Source organism: Homo sapiens, chromosome 22, assembly GCF_000001405.40.
Source record: "Homo sapiens chromosome 22, GRCh38.p14 Primary Assembly".
NCBI lineage: Eukaryota > Metazoa > Chordata > Mammalia > Primates > Hominidae > Homo > Homo sapiens.
This window is the reverse complement of record NC_000022.11, coordinates 22,840,290-22,852,723: the sequence shown is the minus strand read 5'-3', so window position 1 is coordinate 22,852,723 and position 12,434 is coordinate 22,840,290. Positions and strand designations below refer to the sequence as shown.

Sequence of the window (12,434 nt, the reverse complement as noted above, 5' to 3'; positions counted from 1 at the left end):
TATTGTCATAGGGGCTTTGACCATCTGAACACCCAGGAGAACCTCCTAGGGCTCTATTCTGTATTTGGATCAGATGTGCATGAGGGGGCCCTGTCTATTGGAAGCTTTGGTGAGACCCACGCATTCCTGAGAGTGCGAAACAAGCCCTAAGACCATTCATCCTGTGTAGTAGCTGAAATGTTTAGGATTGAGTTCTCTGGAGCAGCTTAGTATCTCTCACAAAATAAAGAGCACGTTATTAGATCTTACAATTCCCACCAGAAAGAAACACAAAGCTTTAAGGTCATTCTGGTGTCTAGAGGCAGCATATTTAACCCTTGGGGATGTGGCTCCAACTCATATATCAGGAGCCATGAACATCGCCCACTGTTTTGGAGCCCAGAGCAGGGAGGTTCTGCACCAGGTTCAGGCAGGGGTATGAGTGTCCTGCTGTTGGGACCACAGAATCCAGCAGACTCTACCATAGTCACAGAATTGGTGATAGGAATGGAAGAATTTATGATAGGAACTGAAAACTCATGTTTACGCAATCTCTCATGGGAAAATCCCATGAGATTTTCCCAATGGGATTCCAATCCCATGGGATTTGGAACAATTCCATGTCATCCACAAGAGAGAATTATATTCATTTGGAAAACAACTCTCCCCATGTGCTCTTGTTCCCTGGTAGATACAGGACAGCATCGGACATTCAGTGACCAAGCAGCCAGAACTGCCAGATTCCCCCGTCGTGTGCTCAGGCAGACCCCAGCAGCGATCCCTGGTGAGACAGATGTGACACAGCTAGGATGGAGCAGGAGCAGGGCCCCAGAGCTGAGTAACCTGTGGGTGGTCCACAGCCAAGTTTGCATCTCTCTTGCTCTAGCACTGCTCCCTGGGTTTACACTTACGTTGTGTGGGTAGCAGTCCCTCTGCTCAGCTGATGGAGCAAAAATTTCCAGAGTAGCCCAGCAATGAACTGGATCACCATGAAGTAGAGCACAGCTGCACTATATGGGTGTACTAAGGGGTGGCATTAAGAGACAATGGAGAGGGGACATCTTTCCTGCATGAGGGCATGGCGCCTGGTCATTCATTTTGTGAGGAAAGGTGAGTGGCCGGATGCCAGGGCAGATAGGGGCTTAGGGCAGTGGGAAATGACCTGGGCAGGTGTTCCAGGGACTGCAAGAGAAAAACTTGGAAATGGGGGAAGTGGAGTATGGGCAGAAGCCTGTGGGTGGTCTTTGGGCACGGGCACCACACAGAAGAAACTTTGAATCATAGGTTAATAGCCCATAGAGTGTCCATGATGGACATAGTGCCAAACACCCAAGTGGTCAGAAAGAAGAGATCAGGGGTGGTCAGCCACTCTGTCAGGTGACATGTGCCCCACAGCATGGGTATCCACTCGTAGGCTCTGAGAGTGTGTGGGTCGACCTTAACGTGGAGTCTAGGTGGACCCCACAGCGTCCACTCCAGCTTACACCGTTTTGAATATAAGGCTGCCAGGAGATTCAGGAACTTAAGTGCTAGGGAAATGCTGAGGACTAACCTAGGACGTCTGGGCCAAGGGGTGACCCAGGCTTCACCATATGGAACTCACATCCTTTACCACTAGATGAAAGATACGCTTTGTGTGTCCTTTCATCCAGGCCCTCTTTCACCAGCTTTATCCTGGGTTAGAAAACCCCAAAACAGCCTGTCCACACAGCCTCAAATCTCCTCCTAACCCACTCTCTGCAGAGCCTGCCTGAAGGGCTGGCATGTGGAAACCCAGGTCTTTTGCCACTACGTGCATGGGCCACTCTGTCTGCCCGTCCATTCAGGCTCTCTTTCACCAGCTTTATCCTTGGCCAGAAAAACCCCAGGATAGCCTGTCACACAGCCTCAAATCTCTTCTTAACTCACCCTCTTCACAACCTGCCTGGAGGGCTGGAGGGAAGAGCAGCCTGGGGGTCACAGAACTGGGTGAACTGGACCAGCCCTGCTCATGGCTTTGTCCACAGCCATCCTGGGGCTGGAGAAAGAGGGTGACACAGATTGGGAAGGGGTTTGTGTCTCACTTCCTAATCTGCCTGTGTCACTGTGGGCTCATCACTGTTTCTATTGTACCTGTGACAGTAATAGTCAGCCTCGTCCTCAGTCTGAGCCCTGCTGATGGTCAGGGTGGCCATGTTCCCTGAGCTGGACTCAGAAAATCAGAAATTCCTGAGGGCCGCTTGCTGCCTTCATATATCACCAGTATGGGCCTGGTCTGGCTTCTGCCAGAACCAGTAAACATACTCATCTTTGAGGTTATCTCAAGAGCAGGTGATCATGGCTGCCTGTCCTGGTGACACTGACACTGAGGGTGGCTGTGTAAGCTCATAGGAGCTTGCAAGAGAGGACAGGAGAGGAGGCTTGTAAATGATGAATCTGTTCCCAGGGGGTCCCACCCTGAGGTTGTGCCTGGGATGAACTCATGTTTGGGCAGGCCCAGCTCAGGATCCTATGGGTTCTGAGCCTGAAGGAAGGGCTTGGGGGCAGCACCTGTGCAGAGAGTGAGGAGGGGGAGCAGGAGAGGGATCCAGGCCATGGTGAGACACCCAGAGCTCTGCCTCCTGAGCCCACAGCACAGCTGGGCTCACCAGCTCTCTCTTATTGCCTCTCAGGCCGTTTGAGGCAGTGAGTGTTTGATGCAAATCGGCATCCTCTGGGACTCCTCACTGAAGGATGTCACTCAAACCAGCTCTGTGGGAAGCACAGCAGACTGAGGAAGAAGAAGTGGGTCCCAGCTCACTTTATCTGCTTCTCTGGTCAGAAGATCAGACTCCATCCTTGAAGGCCTGTGATCACAGTCACCTCCTGGAGTTTGGCCACATGACCACTGTTTTATACCATCCTGGCCTGTGCTGTGTCCTAGGCCAGGCTCAGCAGGGCTGTGGACCTTCCAGGAGCCTGGCCATGGGGCTGAGCTGGGCCGTGCTGAGAGATCATCAATGACACCTGACTCAGCAGCAGGTGGGCCAGGAACCCATCATCTTCCTCCTCCTCCAAGTCAGCTCTGGGTTTCCCAGACTCACTTGGTCCTGTCCTGGTAGTTTAATTAGAATGTGGTTCTGTGTCTTTAGGATACTTATATCCTAAACTTGATTTCCATTACCATGGTTTGGTCCTTTGAGCAGCCACAACTCATGTGGATTCATTACACAGTCTAGTCTCGTTTCTCACCTGAGTTGCTCCTTGTATGACACCCCCCATCTCTCTAATAGACTAGAAATTGCCATCCTCTGCTCTTTGATTCTTTATTTTTTCTCATCAGTGTTTCATATAAATGTGTAAAAAGCACCAGAAACCCAGACCTGACTGAGAAACTAACTTTAGGTTATTTGGTCTCTGTGAGGGTTCCAGCGTCGTGGTCTCTGAACACCCATGAGCTCTGGAGGGTGGGGGATCCCTGGTCCCTCCAGCCAGACAGATCTTGTCACTGAGCCCAGGATAGTCCCATGGTCAGAGCTGTGGCCTGAGGCAGGTGAACATTCCCTTCCCTCTGGAGAGCATCTCCGCAAGGAGGCTGGGAATGCCCCATCCAGGGACCAGGATCCCAAATGTCCCACGCCACCCACCTGAGAATCCCCTGAGCATAGGAGCTGCCTCTGAGTCAGAGTCGGCCTGGAGCTGGAAGGAGAGGGAGAGGGAGGGGGTGGTAGGGTGTCTCTGGAAGTGCCAAGTGTAGAGGGCTCAGCTCCCCAGGATGCTGCTGGACACGGAGGAATGAGACCCTTAGAATGGCAGGAGGCTCAGGCAGCCATCCTGGGTGAAGGGCTTGAGCCCCGGGAGCCCTGTCCCCTCACACTGTTCCCCCTCCTAGAGCACCTTGACCTCGGAGCGTCTCTTAGGAAATCCTAGCCCTATGGGAGCTGCCCAGGCTGACACCAGGGCCCAGGTGCCTCCAGTTGTGTTTCCCAGCTGAGGCCGTCACTGTGCCTGGGCCCCTGTCAGTATCCTGGGTGATGCTGTGTGTCTGACCCTCAGAATATGAACACTGCAGCCCCAGGTGACAGGAGGGACTATACCAAACTTCCAAAGTGAGGACTGATCCCTTGAACACCTGTTGACCACCCCCCACAAAGGCTGGCCTCCTTCATAGGCTCCTCCTGGGCAGCCCCAGCCTCTCTTCTGGCTGCAGCTCTGCTGCCCTCTGCTGGTGGAAAAGACAGAGCCCAGGCACTTGCCTTCTCCAGGTGATCCCAGAGCACCCGTCACCTGGGAGGGTGCGGACCAGGGAGTCCAGCCTCCGTCTGTGCCACATGTGAACCCCTCTGGCCTTCATGGTTCAGCACAGAGAGGTGGCATATATAGTTGCGGGAAGGTGGGGCAGGTGCAGTTCTTGTGACTGAGTCTCAGGTTGAAGTGCTTTTCTCTGTTTCATGGTTTTTGATCACAGAATGGAGAGTGCAGGATAAACTGTAGCTCTTCTGTGAAAAACAGTTCCAGAGAAATGCAGTTGTACCCTACATGTACTCCTGCTTCCCATGTATACTGAAAACGAGATTGATTCCGTCACCCCAATAAGCACAGCTGCACTGTAATTGGAAGTACCGGATTTCTGCCACTAAACCTCAGTTGTGTACTTAAAAAACCATCACCATCATCACTGTCATTATAATTTTTCTATTACCATTATTTTAATTTCCTAACGCTGATCCATGCTTGTGGTGGGAGGTAGCACTAGCCTTTTTTGTTTTAATGAAATTTAAGACTTCTTGGACAATGTTGAATAGCAGCTGTGAAAGCAGGAGTCCTTGTTTTGCTTCTGATCTTTGTGGGGAGGCTTTCACTCTTTCACCATTTACTGTGAGATTCACTGTGGATTTTGATAAAGGCCCTTCTTTAATCAATTTGTGCAGGTTTCCTTCTGTTCCTAGTTTGCTAAGTGTTTTTGTCTTGAAAGTGGATGAACTTTGTCAAATGCTTTTTCTGCATCTTCTGAGATCATATGCTTTTTCTTGTCACTCTATTGATATTGTTTATTACGTTGATTCATTTGCTTATGTAGAACCATCCTTGCAATTCTGGGATAAATCTCGCTTTTTCATTCCATGTGTTCTCTTTAATGTGTAGTTAGACTTGGTTTTCTCTTATTTAATTTAGGAATTTTAGATGCTTATTCTTCAGGAGTATTAGCCAATAGTTTTCTGTATTATAGTATCCTTGTTTGTTTTTGCTACGAGGCTAATGCTGGCCTCTAGAATGTGCTAGGCAGTGTTCCCTCCTCATCTATTTTTGGAAGAGATTGAGTATGATTGGTATTACTTCCTCCTTAAATCTCTAGTAGAATTACCAGTGAGGACATCTGGCTCTGGGCTTTTCTTTTTAGAGAAATTGTCAATTGCCGACTTAATCTATTTCTTATGCTGATTTTTTATTTCTTCTTCAGTTAGATTGGTAATTTGTATTTTTCTATGAATTTGTCAATTTCTTCTAGATTTGACATACAGTTGCTTATGGTGTTCTCTTATAATCATTTTAATTCCCATAACGTTGGTTGTATTATCCCAAATTTCTTATTTTTGTTATTTGTGTCTTCTCTCTTATGGTTTTAGTTGGTTTGCCTAACAGCTTGTTAATTTTCTTCTTCTTATCCAAGTAGGAACTTTTTATGCCATTTATATTCTTTATAGTTTTTTTTCTCATCTATTTCTTTAATCTCTGGTCTAATGATTCTTATTTCTTTCCTTCTGTGGACTTTGGTTTAAGTTTGCTTTTCTCTTTCTTGTTCCATGAGCTGTAAAGTTGAGTTGTTGATTAGAAAGAAGAGGAAAAGAGAGCATTGTTTCCTCTAAAATGAAGGTGTGCTGAGAAGAATGAACACAGGCCTTGCTCTTTCCCCCATTTACTGCATTTACTTCATTCTTAGTCATATTTCTCCACACCTGTATTCTCCTCATCATACCTAAATGTAAAGTCCTCAGGTTCAGCCATTTCTCTGAGTTTTCATTTCCTTATTAAAGCTCCCATGCCAAGTAAAAATTATATTTAATAAATGTGCATGAGTTTATTTTTTAATCTGTCTTGTGTGATAGGGACTGCTGGCCAATAAATCTAAGTTGAGTAGAAGGAAATATTGTTCCTCCCCTACCCAAACTTCGTTTCCTGGTGGTTTTAGATGACTCCCTGTATGACTTCAAGTTTTAAAAAACTGTTGAGAATTGTTTTAAGGCCTAAAATAGCGTCCATTCTGGAGAATGTTCCATGTGCTCTTGAGTAGATGTGTATTCTGCTTTTGTTTTGTGCAGTATTTTGTATATATCTGTTAGGTCTAGCTGGATTATAGTGTTCAATAGCTGCATTTTCTATTAATCTTTTGTTCATATGTTCTATTCTTTTTTAAAGTGGGGTACTGAAGTCTCCAATTTATATTATAGATCTCTCTAGCTTTTATTTTAAATGTGTCTTCCTTCACATATTTTGAAGTGCTATTGCTTGGTGCATACGTGTGTATAACTATTATATCTTCTTGATTAATTGACCATTTTATCAATAAGGAATACCCTTTTTTCTCACTTACAACTATAATTCACTTAACGTCAATATTGCATCATGTCACGACAGCCACACCAGTTCTTTTGTTACTATTTACTCAACCTATTTGTGTCTTTGGGTCTAAATTGGTTCTCCATAAACACCATGTAGATAGATCATGGATTCTATTTTTTTTTTTTACTTTTAAAAATTTCATTTTGTTATTTTGCTTCAAGTGGTGAATCTAATCCATTTATATTTAAAGTAATCACTGATAACAAAGAAAGTCTGTCATTTTGCTGTTTGTTTTCTACATATCTTTTATCTTTTGTTGTTGTTGTTCCTAAATTACCCCAATAATTGTTTCCCATGTGTTCTATTAATTTTTTTCTGGGTCCATTTTGATTCCTTCTTCATTTTCTTTCCCTTATACACTCAATTTAGTTTTTACTAGTTATCATTGGAGTAACGATTAATGTTTTAAAATTGTTAGAATTGCTACGAACTTAGTCTCAATAATATCCATTAATTCTGTTCCTATCCAGTTCCATTTCCTCTCCTTTTAGACCTTGTTAATGTCACAAATAACATCTTTAAACATTTTGTGCCTATGTACATGGCTTTATAATTATTGATTTTTTTCCATATATCTCATAAATAACATGGAAAACACAGCAGCTCCATACCAACAATACAACAGCACTAGCTTTATATTTAAAAGAGATCTTTAATTCTTCACATGTATTCAAATTATGTAGTGTCTTTTCTCAGACTTAAGGACTTCCTGTAGTGTTTCTGGTAGGGCAGATCTACCAGGTCTACTAAACTTTGCTTATCTATGATTATCTTATTTTATTTTTTATTTTAGAAGATTTGTTTGACTAAATGCAGAATTGGTAGATAATATATTTTTATAAATCACTTTATAGATTATTGTGCTGCCTTTTGGACTGTTTTGTTTCTGATCAAAGACCAAATGTTAATTTCATGAGAATCTACTGTTTGTGATGAGTCTCTTTCTCTTGCTGCTTTCAATATTTTTCTTTTGTATTTGGTTTTCGATGGTTTGAGCATATTGTGCCTCACTGTGAGTCTGTGTCAGGTTAACCTGATGAAGGCCACTGAGCTCCTTGAAAGTATAGATTCATATCTTTCATCAATTTTGGAAGTTTCTAGCCATTATTTTTACATGTATTTTATACTTTCTTTTTTCTCTTCCTTCTGAGTCTCCCACAATGCGTATATTGATATGCTTGATGATGTCCCATGTATCTCTTAGGCTCTGCTCATTTTATTTATTCTTTTAAAATTTATGCTCATTCTGTGTAATTACAACAATGTATCTTTAAGTTTACTGATTATTTTTCTGCCTGCTCAAACTGCTGCTGAACTTATCTGATGAAATTTTGATTTTAGCTATTGAACTTCTCAGTTCTAGAAAATCTGCTTGGGTTCTTTTATTATAACTTCTTTTTCTTTATTGATAGTCCTCACTTGTTCTAACATTATTCTTCCAGTTTTGTTTGGTTGTTACTCGCATGGTTTTCTTGAATTTTTGAACATATGTAAATGGTTATTTGAAGTATTTGTGTCATTTGTCCAATGCCTTTGCTTCCTTGTGAGTACATTCAGTTCATTAAACTTTTTCCTGTAAATGGGTCATGCTTCCTTTTAACTTTGTCTGCTTTTTAAGTTTTTGTTGAAATCTGTGTATTTTGAATGTGTGATGTTGTAACTCTCAAAATCAGATTGTCTCCCTACTCCTTCTTGGCTGATGTTGCTGCTCAAGGGTGCAGTTATTCGTTTGTGTAGTTGACTCTTCCAAAATAATTTTGCAAGGACTTTGTTATCAGAGTGATCCATAAAGTTTCTGTTCAGTTACTTCTATGGGCAAAAATTAACCTGACAGAGATTTTCTTATGCCTGTTTCTTTCTTCATCAGTACTTGCCTCAATGCTGCGAATGTGGGACTAGATTTCCTCATTTTATTATGGTTAATTCTGATGGTTCTTACCCTTCAGTAGTTATTTCACAGAAAGGACCATTTCCTGGAATTTCCTACTCCATCATCTTTCATAATGCCACTGTGAGATCAGGTACTTTTGTCTCTTTTGTTCACCAATACATCTCAAGTACCTAAACAGTATCTGGGACAGTTCATTGAATTGGTTTCAATTCATGTTTGTTCAGTGTGTAAGTAAACATAATGAACTGCTAACAGTTTTTGTTTCTTTCCCATGAGGTTGGCCTTGTGGTAGCAATGTTATACATATGCAATCACCTTGCTTTACATTTTCATGCTTTATTCAACATACATTTTCTCAAAATTTCTGGACATATTAGCCCAGATTTGTTTTGTATTTTTTAATTTTTTAATTATTTTTTGAGACGGAGTCTCACTGTGTCGCCCAGGCTGGAGTGCAGTGGCACGATCTCGGCTCACTGCAAGCTCTGCCTCCTGGGTTCACGCCATTCTCCTGCCTCAGCCTCCCGAGTAGCTGGGACGACAGGTGCCTGCCACCATGCCCGGCTAATTTTTTTTTTTTGTATTTTTAGTAGAGACGGGGTTTCACTGTGTTAACCAGGATGGTCTTGATCTCCTGACCTCATGATCCACCTGCCTCAGCCTCCCAAAGTGCTAGGATTACAGGCATGAGCCACTGCACCCGGCCTCCCAATTAGTTTTTTAAAAAATCTTCATTTACATACACCTAACCAGTGGAGGCACCTCACATGATCATTCAGTGCTCCCATGGTATCACCAACTGTGGCTTGAACTCTGCCTTTTCTTCCTAGATTAGTCTTGGGAAATCATAAAAGGCCTTTTGTCAGAAGAATAAAGTACTTAGACCCATGAAAATTTCCTCTCTCAAAAAATCAATCAGAAATTCTAAAATTAGTGTTAAATCATTCCAGTAGCTCCCTGACATTGATCCACACAACAACTATACAGAAATTCAATCAAGATACAGACTTGAATGATCAGCCAATTTATCTTTTTTTTTTTTTTTTTTTTTTTTTTTGAGAGAAGTCCCTCTCTTATCCCCCAGGTTTGAGTGCAATGGCTTTATCTAGGCTCACTGCAACCTCTGCCTCCTGGGTTCAAACGATTCTCCTGCCTCTGCCTCCCAAGTAGCTGGGATTAAGGTGCCTGCCACCGCGCCTGGCTAAGTTTTGTATTATTTTTTAGTAGAGACGGGGTTTCACCATGTTGGCCAGGCTGGTCTTGAACTCCTGACCTCAGATGACCTGCTCGCCTCGGCCTCCCAAATAGCCAATTTATCCTAATTGAATTTGTAGAAAACTACACCCACAATGGCAGAATACCCATTACACTTTCAAACATGAGAGCAGAATACCCATTATGCTTTTAAATACATTTAGCACATTTTTAAATGATTTTGAAATAATCTGTGTTCTAGGTTACAAGTCAAATCTTAGTGGATTTCAGTGGATGAATATCATAGAAGGTATTATTTAATGCCAAAATAATTAATTAAATTGGATTAATACCTGATGAACTATGGGAAATCTTCAATTATTTGAGCAGGAAAGAACACAACTAAGTAATCCATGAGCTAAAGAAAAAACACAACATAAATTAGAAGATACTGAACCTTTAAAACACAAAAAGACAACATATCAAAACTTAAGAAATACAGCTTAAATCAGTGCTTTGAAGGAAATCTATTGCATTTAATGCTTAATGTTGGAAAGAAGAAAGATCTAAAATGAATTATCTAAGCTTGTACCTCATAAATTTAGGCTAAAGGTGAGCATTTAAATTCAAAGCAAAAAAAAGAAAAGTTAATAAGAAAGATCAGAGCCAAATATTAATGAAATAGCAAAAAAAAACAATAGACAGCCTCTAAAAAACAAAACTTGGCTCTTCAAAAAGATAAATACAACCTATTGATTTTACTTTTAGGTAGACTGACTAGGAAAACATGAAAGAGGACACAAAGTACTAAAACCATGATAAAAGAGTGCCATGACTACCAACCTTACAAAAGTTAAAATGGTTAGGGAAATTATTACAAGCAATTAATGCCAAAAGTATAAATGACTTAAGTGGAAAAATTCCTTAAAAGACATAAATGATCAAAACTGACTCAGGAAGAAATGGAAAATCCAAATAGATCTATGGTATTTGAAGGTATTGAATTGGCAATTAAAAGTCTTCCTGCTAAGAAAAGCTCACCCAGTTTTAAATAGTAAATTTCTATCAAATTTTTAATTAAGAAATGATACCAATCCTACAAGAACTTCTTCAGATTATACAGCAGGGGAAACATTTTTCTACTTACTCTTTGAGGCCTGCATTACTCCAATACCAAAGCCAAAGTCATGACAAGAAAAGAAAGTTATAGACCTATGTCCACCATGAACATGGACAAAAACTCATCAATAATGTATCAATCAACATTGTGATGCAGGAGCTGCCCCATGCAAGTGGGACCCTTGTGGCTTCAATTCCCTCATTCTCTTTTCACCTACCTCTTGAGGGTGACCCTTAGTAACCTTGATTTAACATTTGTGTGCCCTGTTTTCTTGCAACTCTGGTACTGGGATCTAGGCATTAGAGGCTGAAGAGAGGTAAGAGTGTTGGTGGAAGTGAGACATATTTTTTAACTATGTGTTAATCCCTGTGAATTCGGTTTGTAATGCTTTGTTGGGAAACCAGGGGTTGGGAAGATTGTCGTTGATTTGTATTTGGCTTTTTGTGGTTCTAAAATTTCAAGTAGGTTTATTCTAGGTAGCATATATAGTTGAGTCTTGCTGTTAATTTCAATTTGACAATATTTTAGTTGTGATATTTAGACCATTTACAATTAATGAGATTAGTAATATAATCCTACTGAAATATACCTTCTTGCTCCTCATTTTTTATTCATCCCATATGTTCGTTATTTTTCCCCTTCTATTGTTTCCTTTTCTGATTTATTTTTAGAAATATTTTTAAAATTTTCTTTCTGGCTTAAATGATGGTTAATTTTAAGTGTCAGATAGGCTAGGATATGGGCCAGGTTGATTTTGTCAAACACCAGTATAGGAGTTAACATGAAGATACTTTTCAGATGTGATGAACATTTTAATTAGTTGACCTTGTATAAGCAGATTGCTCTGCACAATGTAGGTGGGACTCATTAGTGAGTTGAAGGTATTTAGAACAAATATGGAGATTTCCTGATGTGCTGGCTTGCTAAATTTGCATGCATGACCGCAACATTAACTCTTATTTGAATTTCCAGACTTCAGCATGCCCAACAGATTTAATCCTTGTCAGCCACTACAATCATATGATCCACTTCCTCAAAATACATTTCTTTCACTCTTTTTTCTCTCAATACACACACACACACACACACACACACACACGCATATCTGATTGATATTGTTTCTGTGGAGAATCCTAATACAGGTTACTACTAGTCATAATTCTTTTTTGTTAAAAGGGTTTATTTTAATAATTACTTCAGGGTTAATGGTACATATATAACTTACCAAAATCTGTCTTCAAGTGTGATTAGATATTCATACAGGGTATAAGACCATTATAACATGTTCTTCACTCCTCTCTGCTTTTGTGCTGTTTGTCATATAATTTAATTTTGTTTTCACAATAAATCACAGTGATTTTTTTACTAATTTTCCTTTGAACAGTTATCTTTCATAGATGTTAACATAATACAGGGGTTTCTATAGGTATCCATGTCATTGCCCTATCTGAAGTTTTCATTTCTTCGTGTGAATTTGCTTTTCAACTGGGTATGATTTTCCTTCTGTCTATGGATGTCTGTTACCATTTCTAATGCCAAAAGTGATAGTGATCAATTCTGTAAGTTTTTATGTGTCTGAAAACATTTTATTTACCCTCCGCTCTTGAATGTTATTTCTGTTAGATAAATAACAGAAGGTTCACAAGTTTTTCCTTTCAGCATTTTCGAAAT

At 40.9% G+C, this 12,434-nt stretch overlaps 1 long non-coding RNA gene, 1 pseudogene and 1 further gene across 2 annotated transcripts in view; 1 reads left to right on the top strand and 2 right to left on the bottom strand.

Moving 5' to 3' along the window:
• The window catches only part of IGL (immunoglobulin lambda locus), an 896,838-nt gene that overhangs the window by 70,190 nt on the left and 814,214 nt on the right, over positions 1 to 12,434 (bottom strand).
• The window catches only part of LOC105372948 (uncharacterized), a 63,619-nt gene that overhangs the window by 31,876 nt on the left and 19,309 nt on the right, over positions 1 to 12,434 (top strand). The gene's annotated exons all lie outside the window — the stretch shown is intronic.
• IGLV3-6 (immunoglobulin lambda variable 3-6 (pseudogene)) lies at positions 2,068 to 2,351 on the bottom strand (annotated as a pseudogene). Its single transcript is given in 1 exon segment — positions 2,068 to 2,351. A coding segment is annotated over 1 exon segment (284 nt).